This window comes from Homo sapiens, chromosome X (assembly GCF_000001405.40).
Source record: "Homo sapiens chromosome X, GRCh38.p14 Primary Assembly".
In the NCBI taxonomy this organism is placed as follows: Eukaryota; Metazoa; Chordata; class Mammalia; order Primates; family Hominidae; genus Homo; species Homo sapiens.
Window position 1 is genome coordinate 119,615,489 of NC_000023.11, and position 19,541 is coordinate 119,635,029.

Below are 19,541 nucleotides of genomic sequence, written 5' to 3' on the forward strand. Positions count from 1 at the left end.
AAAGTGGAGGACTTCCTGCCCACCTCCACCCCAGGTGTTGGGAATTTCAGGCCCAGCTGGAATAAAGTTGGAGGGGGCGGGCACGGGGGATGGCAACCCATCTAGGAAGATTTCATAGGCTGGTGGTGCCTCCCTGAGCCCTTCAAATCACCCACTCAGAAGGCAGCCACCCACTCCTCAGGCAAACCGTGGTGGGCCGCATCACCCAGTGACTTAAGATCAGATCACACAGCCATTTAGCATTTCTTTGAATTTTATTGAAAATTGACATGGACATTAGAAAGGTATCAGGCTAAACAGTGCTGGTTCTGGGATGTTTCTCCTGGAGAATGAAAGCCCCAGAGGGGCAATGACTGGTCACACCTTTGAGCAAAAAGAACAAAGGAGAAGAAAGGAAAAACACACACAGATTCTGGAAAACATGCAAAGAGGCTCTCTCAAGAGACACTGAACAGCAGAATGGTGGTGATGGTGGTAGGGGATATATGAGAATGAGCACACTCACATGGTATTTTGATGCAAGTTAAACCAATGAATTCAAGGCAGATTTACCAACATCAAAGCTCTCCCTCCAGATCCCAGGTTGAGCAGAAACCTCTCTCAAAACCCTAACTGGTCTCGGAAGGTGGAATGGAGTAATTTTGCCCTCACTAAGCTTAAACCCCCTCCCTTCTCTACCTAAGTGTTAGATAGTGGATACATTTTCCCCCTTTGCTGGAATCTATAGAAGGTCTGCGAATGCTGAAGAAGATACAAATGTCACTTGACTTTCTCTTGCATATTCAGAAATGTTTAACAGTGGCTGTAGACAGTCAACCCATCGAACCAGAGAAATGTTTAAAAGAAAAACATAAAACTCAAACAAAACCTTGTGAACAGAACAGTACTTTCATACCCACAGCTGAGGTGTCCTGCCCCAGTCACTTACACTTGGGTGAGTGGTCCTGTAGTTGTTTCTCTGAGGTTACATTTCGTCCATTTTCCAGCTCTGATGGTTCTTTTCCTGCCTTGTTAGTTAGGACAAGACACTTCCATTTAAAATACCATGTGAGTCAGGAAGAGAGCTTCTTGCCTGGACACAGGGACACATGAACACTTGTTGAGTGGTGTGGTGTATGTGTGTGTGCTTGCAGTTTGAGGGGAGAGGAAATTGGTTGATTTCTGATTTGAGACAATATGGAACCCTAACTCTTCTATAATGGCAGTCTTCTCCTTTAGACTTAGTGCAGCTGCTGAAGACAAGATTAAAAAAAGCTGGAAAGGAGAGAGAAAGAGAAAGAAAACATGAAATTAGCCAAAGAAAGAGGACATTCAAAGTAAGACAGGGGGAGGGGAATGGGCAATATTGAGGTAGCACAGATTGTAGTGTGAGAAGACAGGTTAGAAATGGGGGTCATTGCTGGGCCATCACCACGGGGAAATCTGCTGAGAAGGTTTTAAGAACACCACACACCAGTTTAAAGCTTCTTGTTTTAATTAAAAACAAGCACATATTAACAGCCACATGTGAATGCCAAATGATTAAAACAAAAAAACAAAAACAAGAGCCATCTACACTGCAGCTAGGGAAAGCAAACTTCTTGGCTTAAGAGAAGTGAGGGATGTGTGTACGTGTGTGTGTGTGTGTGTGTGTGTGTGTGTGTGTGTGTGTGTGTGTGTGTTTCAGAAAAGCCACTCCAGTCTGGGAAAATAAAAGCACAGACCATTTCTAATGACTGGTTTTGTTTCACCAGAAGTAAACAGAGTACTTAGGGTATTTTTTTTTTAAATAGTAACAGTTGTACTAATTTAAAAGCCTTTTCATTGAAGAAGGAAAAAATCTGTCTACAGTGAGAAAAGCTACCCAATGAAATACACATTTTAATAGGTTGATCAACTTTTTAATTTATGTTCACTCATGGGTTCGATTTTTGTTCACCAAACTTCCCTGATTATAAGGGTCACCTAGGGCACCTGTTACACACAGTCTCCTGGACCCCGTTCCAGCCTTGCAGCATCACTGGGTCATTGGGTTAAGGAGCTGGCCCGGCATGCCTTCGTTTTGCCAGCCCTCACCCAATCCATCTTCAGATGTTTTTCTGTGGAAAAAAACCTCGAGGGTCTTCTAATACTAACTAGTCAGTTACTCTGAACATCAAAAGACCTCGTATCCAGGAATGTAACGTATATAAACAGATTGAATCCCTTTGTGAAACTGATTGGGAGTCAGGAGGCATGAAAATTAGTCTGGCTTCTGCCTCGAAACAGAAGTGGGACCTCGGTCAAGTCCCTTCCCTTCTCTGGGCCTTCATTTCCCCTTACGGAGTAAGTAGGTTATATCGTCTTACTGACTAAAATGTCTCCCTTAATATAAAACTCCTCCTTAGTTTCTGAAGGTCTCTCCAAGGCTGTGTGGGTCTAATACTTTTGAATTATTCAGAGCTTCTCAAGCCTTAACTAGTTAATCTGTACACAAATGCAAATGAGGGCGCCTCCGGTTTGTAATGCAAATAATTACCGGGCGGCGGTGTGGGGAAGTGGTGGTTACCGGTTGGTTGTTTAAGCGTGAATTTCTGGGAAAGCAGCTCTGAAGCTGGACATAGAATCATCAAAGTTGCAAATATGAAGCCTTTCCCAAGGAGACCTGACAGGCCTAACTCAGCATCTCTCTGAGCTACTGGCTGAGTATCTGAGCAGATTTTTTTTTTTTTTTTTTTGGTCGTTGGTTTGTTTCTACCTCCAAGCATATGGTCTTCAAAAAAATACTCCACTGTAACTTGAATTTTCCCAAGAAACTGGCTTGTGCTTTGGCAGCATCACCTTCATACTTGCTCTGGTCACTCACCAATCAATAGAGCACCAAACCTACACAGCAAACCTATATTCTTGCTTTGTCAACAAGAAAAGTGCGTGCATATGTTTGCTTTTCATTTTTTTCTTTTTGCTTCCTATTATGATCTATAATTGAAGTGAGAAATCCCCTTCCCCTTCTCAATACTTCAAAAAGGCCTGGAAATTTGGCATAACCTTGTTTGACTGTGTGCTTTGAAAGTAAGTGATCAAAAAAAGAAACTCTAAAAAAAAAATAGAAGTAGGTGGTCATGGTCAGTGCCAGTGGGGCTGGGAGGCAGGAGCAAGTTGCGGAACTCAAAAAGAAGAAGTGAGCTTGAAGTACATGGCAGGATAGGGGTGGGGGGCCTCGCTGCCTGGCACCCCAAAGGAAAGCTGTCAGTTAAAATAGGAACCTCGGCTTAAAAGGCTAAATGGAGTCCAGTCCAGCTGTAGCGGGGAATACTATTCAGTACACAGCCATGGATTACTGCAAAGGAAGGGCAGAGAGACGGCATGTTAGCCACAGATCATTGCCAGGTCAACTCCATCTCTCACACTGTCACTGGCCAAACACCAAAGGCCACTGTGCCTCATAACCCTGACAAGGGAGGGCTCTCTACTTCACAGAGGTTCCCAAAGCCACTATCAGATGGGACCCATGATAAAAACTTAGGGCTGGAATATTTTTAAACTCTCAACTCCTTAAATTGGAAAGAAAGTTAAGGGCCTTTTCTTCTCTCCGGCCGAGTCTCATCTCTTCTTATTGGGGGATGCATGCAAAATGCATGTTAAAAATCATCATGACATTCACCAAATGAACTAGAAGACTCATCAGAGCAAACCCCCAAACACTTGATTCTTTTGACAGCTCAGTTTTCCAGCCTACAAAGTGGGATTTATTATTCCTGCTACTGGCCTCACCTTATTGGGACAGTATGGAGCCCTTCCGGAAATTACCCCCCGAGATGCTGAAATACCTCACAAGAAGAATTCGGTAAGGCTATCATTCAAGACTCTAGGCTGGTAATAATATTCAGGTTTATTCTCCCTTTTGCATCTGTGGGATACCCAGAGTTAGAGAGAGGGGAAACGTCTGCTATTTTCTTCAGCAGTTGTGTTTTATGGGAAGGGCTTGGTGTAAATAAATGCGTTGCCGATTTTGAGCACAGCTTGAGTGCAGTTACTTCGAGTGAATGAAAACTGGAAAGGGCTGGACTCAAAGGTTAGAAGGAAAAGGCGCCAAAGGCTGTCCTTTTGAAACCCTCTAAGAAATGGCTGTGGCTCCTGAGGATGAGGGTGGGGTGGACCAGGGAGGACTAGTGACTGGGATACAGGAGACCAAGGGGACAGCTGTGCTGATCGGTGGTTACCCAGCCATGGTGGTTGCAAATACCTCAGGGAAACTAACAGCAACCAGAACTGGAACAGGGGAGCTGGTGGGAAAGAGTAGCAGATGGGCCCCCTGACCATGTCACACCTCTGGCAAAGATGTGGGGGAAGACAGGGGGGATGGCTGGGGGTGCTGGGAGGGGGACTGGGATGCAGGATGCATCTGCGAGCCACATGACTGTTGGCTTCTTGACCAGCGGCCAGACATCACCCTCAGATTCTCAGGTTTCTATAAACCTTGGCAGGAAGAGAGGAGAGGGCGCGGGTTGGATTGTATGCCCCCCAGGCATGTTAAGGGGGAAATTAGAGAAAGGGAGGCCCAGCTCTGTTGCGCAGGAAAAGGGTGTCTACAGGAAGCCCAAACTGAAAATGAAAAGAGAAGCTGAGTTAATGAATGGATAGATTAATGTACCAAAAAAAAAAAAAAGTCAGAAGAAAATTAAGTAATGAGGACTAATGGCTAAATTAGAATATAGCTATGTTAGATGGTCTTAAGGTCTTATTGCATTGGCTCCGGGGAACATGCTTTCTCTCTCATACACTCCACACACACTCCCACATGATGGCAGCAGTGGCATTAGCCAGCAAAATAATGATCAACAACCACAAAAATACATTTTATCTTTCTTTCTTTTTTTTTTTTTTTTTGAGACAGAGTCTTGCTCTGTCACCCAGGCTGGAGTGCAGTGGTGCGATCTCGGCTCGCTGCAAGCTCTGCCTCCCGGGTTCACGCCATTCTCCTGCCTCAGCCTCCCCAGCAGCTGGGACTACAGGAGCCCGCCGCCACACCCGGCTAATTTTTTTGTATTTTTAGTAGAGACGGGGTTTCACCGTGTTAGCCAGGATGGTCTCGATCTCCTGACCTCATGATCTGCCCGCCTTGGCCTCCCAAAGTGCTGGGATTACAGGCGTGAGCCACTGCACCCGGCTCTTTTTTGTTGTTGTTGTTGAGATGGAGTTTTGGTCTTTTGCCCAGGCTGGAGTGCAGTGGCCGTGATCTTGGCTCACTGCAACCTCCATCTTCCAATTTCAAGCGATTCTCCTGCCTCAGCCTCCTGAGTATCTGGGATTACAGGCGCCTGCCACCACGCTCGGCTAATTTTTGTATTTTTAGTAGCGACGGGGGTTTCATCATGTTGGCCAGGCTGGTCTCGAACTCCTGACCTCAAGTGATCCACCCGCCTCAGCCTCCCAAAGTGCTGGGATTACTGGCGTGAGGCACTGAGCCCGGCCTATCTCTTCTTAATGACTAGGTCCTGACTAGTGTCCCCCACCACCCACCCCCAGCACCACCACCCACCCCCAGCACCACCACCCAATACCTTGTACAGGAATACCTTCCACAAATCTCTAAGTGGCCTCAGGCCACTGGATAGAGCCCCAGGCTCTAGCCACTGCATTTCCTGTCCCATTGGGAAAGTAGAGGAGGCTGAGGTTTCACCCCAGGAGATCCTTAGAGCTGTCCTAGTCAGCTAACTGGTACTCTGGGGCAAGACCTGTTTGCAGAGCATATGGGGATGATTGCAGAACTCTGTTCTAGGGTCCAGACCACAGTTACCTGAAAATGTGAACTATGGAAACCCATCATTGGTTTGTGCTTAAATAATACTTTGACCTCTCTTCCATGTAAATTTCATTCCTGTGACATAAATACAGCAAGTAGAACTGATCCCCATTTCATATGAGTAGACCAAGAAACACAGAGAAGTCAACAGACTTGCCTGTGGCTGCAAAGAGTCACAGCTGGGCCCAGAGCTGGTGTGTGTGTGTGTGTGTGTGTGTGTGTGTGTGTGTGTGTGTGTGTGTATTTTTATTTCTTTTGAGATGGAGTCTTGCTCTGTCACCCAGGCTGGAGTGCAATGGTGCGATCTTGGCTCACTGCAACCGCCGCCTCTGGGGTTCAAGCAATTCTCCTGCCTCAGCCTCCCAAGTAGCTGGGATTATAGGCACCCGCCACCATGCCCAGCTAATTTTTGTATTTTTAGTAGAGACAGGGTTTCACCATGTTGGCCAGGCTGGTATTGAACTCCTGACCTCGGGTGATCCTCCTGCCTCGGCCTTCCAAAGTGCTGGGATTACAGGCGTGAGCCATCATGCCCAGCCAACTCTCTTAAAAAAAAAAAAAAAAAATAGAGAGATAGGGTTTCACCATGCTGCCCAGGCTGGTCTCCAACTCCTGGGCTCAAGTGATCCTCCCACCTCAGCCTCCCAAAGTGCTAGGATTACATAAGTGAGCCACCTCGCCCAGCTTCCATTTACTCATCTTGCAAACTGGGGATTATTCCTTCTCTACCTCACAGACCTGTTGTAAGTATAAAATGAGATACTATACAAAAGACAAAAACAAAAACAAAACAACAACAACAAAAAAAAACACTTTGGAAAGTAATAAAAGCTATACAAATGCTCATATCTTATTTTTATTCTTTGTCTACTTCCTAGGGGAAGAGTAATCTAAAAAACACTGCAATGGCCTATGTTCTAGGTTTCATGGGAAGGCTGACGTATTTTGATGTGTGTATACTATCCATATACTGTGCACTCCTAAGGACCAATAATGATTGAGGTAGAGTATCTGCAACGATGTAGGGGGTCACAAAGGAATCGCTTTTACAAATGCAGAGAGCTATAAGTAGTGCCTCAAGCAATTTCAAAATGTGGAGGCACAGTAAGCCTCACTCTGCCTGCATTCTAGGTGGCCTTCGTGATCCACCCCTTGAATGAGGGCTTTGAGGAGGGGGCGGGTTGCCTTTGCTGCTTTCAGATCCTGGGGAGCCAAAGCCTCCCCTGACTCGTTGGTCTGAAATTGCTTTCGTGGTCTGCCAGGGAGAATCCTGCCAGGAAGAGCCAACCTACTTGGGGTTGGGGTTGGCTGTTCCAGCTGTTTACCAATTGCCTCTCACTTGTAAAGTGTAGCTTTAATTATAGTTTTGCCAGAATTCATTTTAGGAATGGCCACTAACAATGATTTACTTGGGGAAACCTGTAAGCAACTGTGTCAAGCCACGTGCAGTGAAACCTGAATTAACTGAAATCTCATTAACTAGAATACATATTTCCTGCTCACCTCATTAAAAATGGGAGAACAAAGAACATAACACATGAACTGAGTTCCTATTACATGTCAGACACTTCACTACGCACTGGAACTACATACAGTGCAAAGAATGGACAGGCATTCTAGGAACTGACTGTCTTCCTAAATGGAAATCTGCTGTTTAATTCCAGTCAACTAGCAGGGGCTCCAAGACTTGCTGTTAAGCCAGACAGTAAATCAAGTCACTGTTCTTTTAAGATTGTTTCCTTTGGCCCGGTTTCATGGGCCTTATGTTGCAGAAACCTCTATGGACTTCCTCTTCAGGATTTGCTTCCAAGCAGGATGTTTTGCCAGCTGCCCCGAGTCCCCAGTGCAATAGCTGCGGCAATCAGTTTGGTGACTAACAGCAGGCTCTCCATTTAAATCATAAACTACATGGGTGAGTGGGGAAAAGTCTTCTCTATATTTTATATTCCCTGATCCAAACAAACCAAATGTAAAAGGGCATTTATGAGACAACCGGGATGTTTCAAACACTGACTAGACATTTCATGTTAATGAATTATTGTTCATTTTGTAGGTGTGATAATGGTGGGGTTGTGGTTATGTTTTTTTAAAGAATCATTATCTCTTGGAAATATATACTAAAGTATTTACAGATAAAATGATATAGTTTTGCTTTATAATAATTCAGCAGGTCTGTAGTAATTGATGAAACAAGATTAGGCATATGTTTATGGTTGCCTGGGGGCTGAACTGTATTATCCTCTTATTTTGCTCATGTTTGAAAGTTTCCACGGTAAAGTTTAAAAAAAATAATAATAACCCTTCATCGGGCGCGGTGGCTCACGCCTGTAATCTCAGCACTTTGGGAGGCCAAGGTAGGCAGATCACCTGAGGTCAGGAGTTTGAGACCAGCCTGGGCCAACGTGGTGAAACCCGGTCTCTGCTAAAAATACAAAAATTAGCCAGGAATGGTGGCACATGCCTATAATCCCAGCTACTTGGGAGGCTGAGGCATGAGAATTGCTTGAACCCAGGAGGCGGAGGTTGCAGGGAGCTGAGGTTGTGCCACTGCACTCCAGCCTCGGTGACAGAGTGAGACTCCGTCTCAAAAAAAGAAACAAACAAACAAAAAAAACCCTAATTATGTTAAATTAAAAATGTTTGTATTTCCTTTCCATCCACTACCTGAGTCTAGTAGAGGAGATAGAAGGTCCTTAATCCCTGCTTTCAGTCTCCCTATAAACTATGTGAAACTTTATAAACTTCTATTAACACAACATCTAGCACTCAGGAATCCTTACCTGCTGATCTCCTTATAAGAGGTTTTCATGAAGCCAGTACTTGTAGGATTAAATGTAAGGAATTCTCTATAATTTCTAAGATCTCTTCATTTTCCTCCGCTTTTATTATGGGTTTTTTTTTTTTGTTTTTTTTTTTGTTTGTTTGTTTGTTTGTTTTTTTGAGACGGAGTTTCGCTCTTATTGCCCAGGCTGGAGTGCAAAGGTGCGATCTCGGCTCACTGCAACCTCCGCCTCCCAGGTTCAAGCAATTCTCCTGCCTCAGCCTCCCGAGTAGCTGGGATTACAGGCATGCACCACCACGCCCGGCTAATTTTGTATTTTTAGTAGAGACAGGATTTCTCCATGTTGGTCAGGCTGGTCTCGAACTCCCGACCTCAGGTGATCCGCCCGCCTCGGCCTCCCAAAGTGCTAAGATTACAGGCGTGAGCCACTGCTCTCAGCCTTATTATGGTTTTGAGGGGTACAGTCAAAGGAAATTTGAGGACTTGAACCCCTCAGATATGAAACTGCCACCAGCGGGAAACAGAGAAGTGAGTTTCCATTGACTCTGGACATTCTCAAACCTGATGCAGGGGGATGGGAGAGGGTTGATGCTGACTGTGACATTGCAGGACGGAGCTTGTGAAACCCAGTTTCTCTCATCACCACGGTTTCATTAATTTTGAAAATAATGGTTATAGCTCCTTTTGTTTTTGAGATGGAGTTTCGCTCTTGTTGCCCAGGCTAGAGTACAATGGTGCAATCTCGGCTCACTGCAACCTCCGCCTCCCAGGTTCAAGCGATTCTCCTGTGTCAGCCTCCAGAGTAGCTGGGATTACAGGCCTGTGCCACCATGTCCGGCTAATTTTTTGTATTTTTAGTAGAGATGGAGCTTCACCGTGTTAGCCAGGATGGTCTCAATCTTCTGACCTCAGGTGATCTGCCCTCCTCGGCCTACCAAAGTGCTGGGATTACAGGTCTGTGAGCCACTGCGTCCGGCCCGATTATGGCTCTTTAAGAAAAAAACTTCCCACACTGAAACCTCAAATACTGATCACAGGATCCACCTGTGTTACCCAGCTGTTCTAGCAGCAAAAGTCTGAAAACGACCCCTCACTTTAATCAGGCAGGCAGGCAGGCATTCCACATGTACACCTGAAACCACACCAGACTATTTCTGCATATTATAAGTCACGAGAGAAAACCAGCTAGACCAATGAAGCAGCTTCTTCTACGATTAGATGCTTGTGTTGGGGGTGCGGGATTGGGGGAGATATGTTCTAGAAGCCACTGCCAGTTCTATTTAGAGTTAATCAAGCTTACCAGGACCCTGGGTCTCATGCAGCATGCAGCAAACAGCAGAGTTAACTGTAAAACAGTAAGAGCTGATGAAGATGGAGTGAGCATGAGGGGAAATCAAATATTATGACTTGACACAAACAATGAAGGGTTAGAGGTCAAAGGTGATTAGGAGTAGCAGGAAGGGGAAGTGGGAAGGGTGGACTGGTAGGAACCCCTGAAACACTGATACTCTTTTTTTTTTTTTTTTGAGTCAGGGTCTCTCTCTGTTGCCCAGACTGGAGTGCAGTGGCGCAATCATGGCTCACTGCAGCCTCAACCTCCCGGGTTCAAGCAGTTCTCCCACCTCAGTCTCCTGAGTAGCTGGGATTATAGGCAAGTGCCACCAGGCCCAGCTAATGTTTATTTATTTATTTTTTTTGTAGAGACAAAGGTCTCACTATGTTGCCCAGGCTGATCTCAAACTCCTGGACTCAAGCAATCCTTCGCCTTGGCCTCCCAAAGTATTGGGATTACAAGCATGAGCCACCACGGCTGGCCAGTACTTTCTTAATCTCTTTAGGGGCAGCTAAAGGAAATTCTGAATATGTGACTCTTAGATCCAACCACCATCTCTCAAGAAGAAATACTACTACCACCATTTCTGCCCTCAAAACTCACTACCGTGACTATGGGAGGAGGGTAGCACAGGTCTAACGGTGGCTCTTCCAGAAGTTAACAAATTGCTCATGAAATTACATAAGAAGCCAAGATTCAGGGCCACTTCTGCATCTGGAAGTACAGAAGAAGACAGGTCATTCTGTTAGGCCCTTATTGCTAATATAAGGTGCCACATGCCAGCAGGGTTTTCACCCATTTCAGAATTGGAAAGGGGCACTGTCACCAACCCCAAATATTCCTGAAGAGTAGAGAGGGGTATCTCCCTGTTGGGGTCTCCTGCCTGGGGTGGGAGAAGTCAGTCAGTATGAGGCAACAAGGGGAAAGCTTGATGTAAGAAGAACTTTTACTGAACATCTGAATAGGGAATATTTATAGTTTCATTGTAGCCTGAACAAACCAATTCCTAACTCCCACAAGCAGGCTATGAAACTGCCCCAGGTACTGAGTTAACAAATACCACAGGACTATGAAGGCAGCAGGTTACAGCTGGATGACAAATTTAGATTTTTCTGATCTTAAAAATAGGAATTCATTCCTGCTGGTGCAACTAATACACCATGACAGATAAGTTAATACAGTACAGGGTGTGTCCAAAGAGACTTTTTTCTGGCTAGTTGAACTTTATCCATCAGGTAATACCAAAAAATTTCATTCATCAGTGAATTTGACATATAGTATTAAGATTCAGTAAGAAAAATTTCTGGACTAATTGGTGAAGATGTTCTTTTTTTTTTTTTAGACAAAGTCTCACTCTGTCACCCAGGCTGAAGTGCAGTGGCATGATCTTGGTTCTGCAACCTCCACCTCCCAGGCTCAAGTGATTCTCCTGCCTTAGCCTCCTGAGTAGCTGGGACTACAGGTGTGGGCCACCATGCCCAGCTAATTTTTGTATTTTTAGTAGAGACGGGGTTTCGCCATGTTGCCCAGGCTGGTCTCAAACTCCTGACCTCAGGTGATCTGCCTGCGTCAGTTTCCCAAAGTGCTGGGATTACAGGCGTGAGCCACCGTACCCGGCCAAGATGTTTAAATTACACATTTGCATAAAGAGTAATTGGATTGCAAAGCTGAATGCCTTCAAATATAACATATTTTACTGTTATGCAAAAGTTACCATGTTATTCCTAAGTGATAAGCCAGAGGAAAGGAAGGTGTTTCTTCCTTCTGGCAAAAATATCCCATAGTTAAGTCCAGGAACAAATGGCTGAAAACAGAAGGCAATGACCATGGACACCTTTTGGATCCTCAGTACCCTTCAGTAAAGACACAGCTAAACAGTCCACCTGGGAACTCCTCAAGCCACACTGCACAAACAACTGCAGGGCACAAGGGCACCACAGGAGTTTTTCTAGATCCCGTTGAAATATTTTTCTCCAGTTCTGGGATGAGGAATGGGTAACTTCAGCAAGCAGAGACTGGGGTTGGGTGAGGATTATTGACCCACATGGTATCCAGGAGCCACTGTTCTAATACCAGGGGAGATCAGAAGGTCTTACAGTCATTCCACAGATTGAGGATGGGGCACATGCAGCATACACTGGCATCTGAGGGCTCCCCCATAAGTTCTCAGCACCCCAGGCTAGGCAGAACTAAGCCAGCAGGGAGGGATCACAAAGGGGTGGGAAATCAGGGCTGAGCTGCAGCCTTCACTGGCAGCAGTTAAATTCTGTTGGCTGCAGAGAGTAATAACTGAGGCAGGGTGAGGGTGGGACTACGGCCATGGAGAGGTGAGCAACCTCAGATATAGGGCAAGGGTGGGGAGAGGGTGCACCGAGTTTCTGCTAAAGGCTCTCTCTTTCTTCCACTATCCTGTATCTGCACTTCTTTTTTTTTTTTTTTTTTTTTTTTTTGAGACAGAGTCTCAATCTGTCGCCCAGGCTGGAGTGCAATGGTGCTATCTTAGCTCACTGCAACCTCTGCCTCCTCAGTTCAGGCAATTCTCCTGCTCAGCCTCCCAAGTAGCTGGGATTACAGGCGCACGCCACCACGCCTGGCTAATTTTTTGTATTGTTAGTGGAGACAAGGTTTCATCATGTAGGCCAGGCTGGTCTCGAACTCCTGAACTCAAGTGATCCACCCGCCTTGGCCTCCCAAAGTGCTGGGATTACACCACGCCCGGCCCGTAGCTGCAGTTCTTTTTGTTCCTCTCTTTCTTTTCTATTTTTTTTTTTTTCAGATGGAGTCTCACTCCGTTGCCCAGGCTGGAGTGCAGTGGTGTGATCTCAGCTTACTGTAACCTACACCTCCCGGGTTCAAGTGATTCTCCTGCCTCAGCCTCCTGAGTAGTTGGGACTACAGGCAGCTAATTTCTGTATTTTTTTTTTTTTTTTAGATGGAGTCTCGCTCTGTCGCCCAAGCTGGAGGGCAGTGGTGCGATCTCAACTCACTGCAACCTCTGCCTCCTGGGTTCAAGCAATTCTCCTGCCTCAGCCTCCTGAGTAGCTGGGATTATAAGCGCGCGCCACCGCGCCTGGCTAATTTTTGTATTTTTAGTAGAGACAGGGTTTCACCATGTTGTTCAGGCTGGTCTTGAACTCTTTTTTTTTTTTTTTTTTTGAGACGGAGTCTCGCTCTGTCGCCCAGGCTGGAGTGCAGTGGCACGATCTCTGCTCACTGCAAGCTCCGCCTCCCAGGTTCACCCCATTCTCCTGCCTCAGCCTCCCGAGTAGCTGGGACTACAGGCACCCACCACCACACCCAGCTAATTTTTTTGTATTTTTAGTAGAGATGGGGTTTCACTGTGTTAACCAGGATGGTCTCGATCTCCTGACCTTGTGATCTGCCTGCCTCGGCCTCCCAAAGTGCTGGGATTACAGGTGTGAGCCACCGTGCCCAGCCTATTTTTTTTTTCTTTTTTTTTTAAGCAGAGACGGGGTTTCGCCATATAGGCCAGGCTGGTCTTGGACTCCTGACCTCAAGTGTTCCTCCTGCCTTGGCTTCCCAAAGTGCTGGGATTATAGGTGTGAGCCACCGTGCCCGGCCTTGTTCCTCTCTTATATTGCTGCACCTCTAATTTTTTTCTTCCCTTCTGCTCTCTCACTCTCCTTTGCTTTTCCTCTTTTCCCTTCCTTTCCTATGGACCTTGAGTTTGCAGGGCTTTCCTGAGCAAGCTGGACAGATGGGCTGGGCCTCTGGGACCACACCCCTCTGCTACTCTCAACTCCCCAAGCTCAGGGAATCCAAAGGTGCCACAGGGATGCTGGGACCAGTTATAGGTACCTCAACCAGTCTGACAGCCCACAGCTCACCTCTGGTCACCAGTCCTCAGCCCCTTCAGGTGCCACGTCCTGCCCTGGGAGGATGAGCAGGAGGAAAGAGAAGGCACCACCCCAGAGCAGCCTGCTACTTACTTTTTCTTCTCTTTGTCTCTCTTCAGAGTCTGTGAGCCTCCAGCCTGGGAGCCCTGGGACTGGAGCAGCTCAGCCGCCGTCTTTCTTTGCTTGAAAGCATTCACTTCATCATCCAGGGATTTCTTCTTATCCTCCAGTTTCTTCTTCTCGTCCTGGTGCAGTTTCTTCAGACGGTCAAACTTCTCGTGCAGCTGGCAGGGAAGCACAGGGAGATTGGAGAGAATCCCCTGTGAGCAGTCCCCAGCCTGGCCAAGCCCAGGTGGGTGGGGACCAGTAGGGCTGTGACCCTGCAGGACCCTGGAACCTCAGGGGGCATTTCTGTCAGGGATTGCTATGATGGCACCAAAGGCACCATGCTCTGGATCGTTCTCTCTTCCTGCCATTTTATCTCCAAGTCTCTGCTCCTGAATATGGTAAAGGAATACTGCATTGTGTTTAGTCAGACATTTTGTTAAAAAGAGTCCCCATAGTTACCACACATGGTCAATAATAACATCAATTATAATAATATAACATTTACTGAGTGCTGGCCGGGCTCAGGCCTGTAATCCTAGCACTCTGGGAGGCCAAGGTGGGCAGATTACTTGAGGTCAGGTGTTCGACACCAGCCTGGCCAACATGGTGAAACCCCGTCTCTACTAAAAATACAAAAATTAGCCAGGCATTGTGGCATGTGCCTGTAGTCCCAGCTACTCAGCAGGCTGAGGCAGAAGAATCACCTGAACCCAGGAGGCGGAGGTTGCAGTGAGCCAAGATTGTGCCACTGGACTCCAGCCTGGGCAACAGAGGAAGACTCCGTCTCAAAAAATAAAAAAAGAAATTACCGAGTAATTACAGGCTAAGCACTGACTTTTATAAGTCCTTTATGTATATTAATTTATTTAATTGTTACCACATTCCTATGAGGTAGGTTCCGTTATTATCTCCATTTTATGAGGAAACAGAAGGTCTGAGAAGTAAGGAATTTGACTATGGTCAACCCAGTATTTAGAACATTATATAATGGGACCTCTTATGTGTAAGGAACCCCTGTCTTTTCTTAACCCCTGCAATCAGGAAGGATCACCATGGATCTCAGAGAAAACTTCAGTATGGGAAAGCCAGTCAAGGAAATACTTGGCTTTGGACATGGAAGGAAATAAAAAGGACTTTATGACATGGAATGAGTACAGACACCTCAGCCTTAACTAAAGGGAGGCTTAATTAGTCCTGAATAGAACCAGAAACCCAAAGAAGAACAAGAAGAATATTCTGGGCCAGGCACAGTGGCTCACGCCTGTAATACCAGCACTTTGGGAGTGCTGTAATCCCAGTAGTCGGCTCAATCCCAGCACTTTGGGAGGCCAAGGTGGGTGGCATAAGGTCAGGAGTTCTAGACCAGCATGGCCAACATGGTGAAACCTCGTCTCTACTAAAAATACAAAAATGAGCTGGGCGTGGTGACGCTTGCCTATAATCCCAGCTACTTGGGAGGCTGAGACAGGAGAATCACTTGAACCCGGGAGGCGGAGCTTTCAGTGAGCCGAGATCGCACCACTGCACTCCAGCCTGGGCAAGAGTGAGACTCTGTCTCGGAAAAAAAAAAAAAGAATATTCTGGCATGCCATTGTGGTAAGTGGATCAGAGAACAAGAGGCACAGACAGTCACAAACTAGAATGCAATAAACTACCCTGAATAGTAAGAGCAGAGCAAGCCGAATTTCACTTTCTTTCATGGATTCAGGAGAGAGTTTAGGATTCTGTAGCACTTGCAGCATACGATGAAGAAGGTTAGTTCTCCGGGTCCTGGGGGTATTTGGCACTGTCACTTAGGTGGGTGAGTGACAGACTTGCTGTATAAACCAGATCTTTTCTTTTTTCTTTTCTTTTTTTTTTTTTTTTGAGACAGAGTCTCGCTCTGTCGCCCAAGCTGGAGTGCAGTGGCACAATCTCGGCTCACTGCAACCTCCGCCTCCCAGGTTCAAGTGATTCTCCTGCCTCGGCCTCCCAAGTAGCTGGGACTACAGGCACGTGCTACCACTCCTGGCTAATTTTTTGTATTTTTAGTAGAGACGGGGTTTCACTGAGTTAGCCAGGATGGTCTCGATCTCCTGACCTTGTCATCCGCCCACCTTGGCCTCCCAAAGTGTTGGGATTACAGGCATGAGCCACCACGCCTGGCCTAAAGCAGCTCTTACTAGTCACTAGGGCTGCCTATCAATTGCCTTAACCTGGTTTTTGTTTGTTGCACTTTTATTCATTTGTCTTTGAGATCCCCTCACTTCTCCTCCTAAAAGTGCTGGGTGACATTTTTGTTTTTTTTATTGAGACAGAGTCTCACTCTGTCACGCAGGCTGGAATGCAGTGGCCTCGATCTCTCGGCTGAAGCATTCCTCCTACCTCAGCCTCCTGGGTAGCTGGGACTACAGGCACGTGCAACCATGCCTGGCTAATTTTTTGTATTTGTAATTATTTTTTTTTTTTGAGATGGAGTCTCGCTCTGTTGCCCAGGCTGGAGTCCAGTGGGACAATCTCGGCTCACTGCAACCTCCGCCTCCTGGGTTCAAGCAATTCTTCTGCCTCAGTCTCCCAAGTAGCTGGGACTACAGGTGCGTACCACCACACCTGGCTAATTTTTGTATTTTTAGCAGAGACAGGGTTTCACCATATTAGCCAGGCTGGCCTCAAACTCCTGAACTCGTGATCCACCCACCTCGACCTCCCAAAGTGCTGGGATTACAGGTGTGAGCAACTGCGCCCAGCCAATTTTTTCTATTTTTAATAGAAACAGGGTCTCAGTATGTTGCCCAGGCTGGTCTTAAACTCCTGGGCTCAAGCAATCCCCTCGCTTTAAGCCTCCCAAAGTGCTGGGATTACAGACCTGAGCCAAGGCACCTGTCTGACATTTTTTTTTTTTGAGGCAGAGTCTCGCTCTGTCGCCCAGGCTGGAGTACAGTGGCGCGATCTCGGCTCACTGCAAGCTCCGCCTTCCGGGTTCACGCCATTCTCCTGCCTCAGCCTCCCGAGTAGCTGGGACTACAGGCGCCCGCCACCACGCCCGGCTAATTTTTTTGTATTTTTAGTAGAGACGGGGTTTCACCGTGTTAGGCAGGATGGTCTCGAACTCTTGACCTTGTGATCCGCCCGCCTTGGCCTCTCAAAGTGCTGGGATTACAGGCGTGAGCCACCGCGCCCAGCCAACAGACATTTTTTTTTTTTAAGTGAAACTGAAAAAAAAAATCAATACCCTTGTCATGGGCTTTGGTGAGAACCCTTGAGAGTGTGACAGGTTAAATGTGGAAGAGAATCGTGAAGTAATTAAGTGTTTCCTTTCTTTTTTTTTGTTTTTGAGATGGAGTCTTGCTCTGTCACCAAGGCTGGAGTGCAGTGGCATGATCTCAGCTCACTGTAACCTCCACTTCCCAGATTCAAGCGATTCTCCTGCCTCAGCCTCCCAAGTAGCTGGGACTATAGGCATGTGCCACCACACTCCACTAATTGTTGTATTTTTAGTAGAGACAGGGTTTCACCATGTTGGCCAGGCTGGTCTCGAACTCCTGACTTCAGGTGATCCAACTACCTCGGCCTCCCAAAGTGTTGGGATTACAGGCGTGAGCCACAGTGTCCGGCCCAATGTTTGGATTTCTGTTCCTGTGTTAGTTTGCTGAAGATAATGGCTCCCAGCTCCACTCATGTCCTTCTAAAGAACATCCTCTGATTCCTTTTTATGGCTGCATAGTATTCCATGGTGTATATGTACCACATTTTCTTTATCCAATCTATCATTGATGGGCATTTGAGTTGATTCTATGTCTTTCCTATTGTGAATAGTGTTGCAGTGAACATATGTGTGTGTGTATCTTTATAATAAAGTGATCTATAGGATTGCTGGGTCGAATGGCATTTCTGATTCTAGGTCTTTGAGGAATCACCACACTGTCTTCCACAGTGGTTGAAGTAATTTACATTCACACCAACAGTGTAAAAGCGTTCCTATTTTTCCACAGTCTCACCAGCAGCTGTTGTTTCTTGACATTTTAATAATCACCAGGCTCACATTTACCTCTTTCTCTGCCTCTTTGAGCTCCGCTTCTTTCTCTTTGACTCGCTGGACGAACATCTGTCTCATCTCCTCTTCTTTTTTCTGGAGTTCCCCTAGGAACTCGTTCCTTTTGGCCTCATATGTCTCCTGTAAACTGCGAACATGGTCAGGTTAATTCTTCTTCCTTTGGAATGATTCCTATTTGATAAAACTGGCCCCAAAGATCCTCACTGGGTTCCTCTGTCCTCCCTTCCCCAGTTGTGAGCCAGGTACAAAAATAGAACCACAAAGCTGTGGGCACCTGGCTTGGCCCATGACAGCATGCCCACAGGGATTCTGGAGGGGGATGGGGCAACCCTAGTGAACTGGAGAGACTTAGAATATCTGGTTCTATACTCTTGTTCTACGGATGAGAAAACTGAGGCCCAGAGAGGTGAGGTGTCTTACTCAAGGCCCCACGGCTAGTTAGAGGGAGAACTTTGACCAGAAGCTGAGTCTCCTGTCTCTTCATCTGGGTTTTCCCACTGCACAATGCTGCCAGGCCCTGGCTCTGAAACTGACCACATTAATGAACTATTTCAACAAATGCTTGAGGAGACTCCATATGTGCTAGACTCAGTACTAATTGACATGATGCTAGTCACTCAGCCTCTAGAGCCAACAGCCATCATACCTGCCATCAAGGAACTCATGGTCTAGTGGGAGATGCCCCTGGCCTAAGCTTATTTTTAAAGAAATAGGAGATAGGCTGGGTGCAGTGGCTCACGCCTGTAATTCCAGCACTCTGGGAGGCCAAGACGGGTGGATCACCTGAGGTCAGGAGTTCGAGACCAGCCTGGCCAACATGGTGAAACCCCATCTCTACTAAAAAATACAAAAAATTAGCCAGGCGTCGTAGTGGGCGCCAGTAATCCCAGCTACTCGGGAGGCTGAGGCAGGAGAATCACTTGAACCTGCTAGGCGAAGGTTGAAGTGAGCCGAGATTGCGCCACTGCACTCCAGCCTGTGTGACAGAGTGAGACTCCATCTCAAAAAAAAAAAAAAAAAAGCAATAGCCTGGTGAAGAAGAGGTGGAACTGTGATCCAAAGAGGGCAGCATGTAAGAAAGCAGGTGTGAAGAGAGAATGACATTCTTGGGGAGCCAGGTATGGTTCAACATGGCCAGAGAGCACCATGGCAGTGGTGGAGTAGAGGCAGACAAAGTTCCTGAGCCTGGAGGAAGAGAACAGGCTTTGAATGCCATATTTAAAAATTGGATATGTACACACTGCATGGTTTTAAAGCAGGAAGTAGTACTAGATCCAATTTGAAAATGAGAAGGACCATTCCGGCTGTGCTGTGGGAAGGATAGACTGTCCATCAATCCAAGTAAGAAGTGACAGGATCTTGGCCAGGTGTGGTGGCTCATGCCTGTAATCTCAGCACTTTGGGAGGCCAAGGTGGGTAGATCACTTGAGGTCAGGAGTTCAAGACCAGCCTGGCCAATATGGTGAAACCCCATCTCTAATAAAAATACAAAAATTAGCTGGGTGAGGTGGTGGGCGCCTGTAATCCCAGCTACTGGGGAGGCTGAGGCAGGAGAATCGCTTGAACCCGGGAAGCCAAGATTGCAGTGAGCCGAGATTGTGCCATTGTACTCCAGCCTGGGCGATAGAGCAAGACTCTGTCTCAAAAAAAAAAAAAAAAAAAGA

The 19,541-nt window shown here is 46.5% G+C and overlaps 1 protein-coding gene across 9 annotated transcripts in view; it reads right to left on the reverse strand.

The window, feature by feature from the left end:
* The window catches only part of SEPTIN6 (septin 6), a 77,445-nt gene continuing 58,139 nt past the window's right edge, over positions 236-19,541 (reverse strand). Inside the window, exons 8-11 of one of the 9 annotated variants that reach the window (NM_145800.4) lie at positions 17,872-18,004; positions 13,830-14,020; positions 9,847-9,891; positions 236-1,254 (exon numbers count right to left, since the gene is read on the reverse strand). In NM_145800.4, the coding sequence (NP_665799.1) occupies positions 9,888-9,891; positions 13,830-14,020; positions 17,872-18,004 (328 nt within the window). In that variant the 3' untranslated portion in view covers positions 236-1,254; positions 9,847-9,887. Of the gene's footprint in view, positions 1,255-1,456; positions 4,564-9,846; positions 9,909-13,829; positions 14,021-17,828; positions 18,005-19,541 lie in introns of those variants that run through there. The other 8 variants (XM_011531317.4, NM_145799.4, XM_011531318.4 and 5 more) reach the window with 8 other exon arrangements.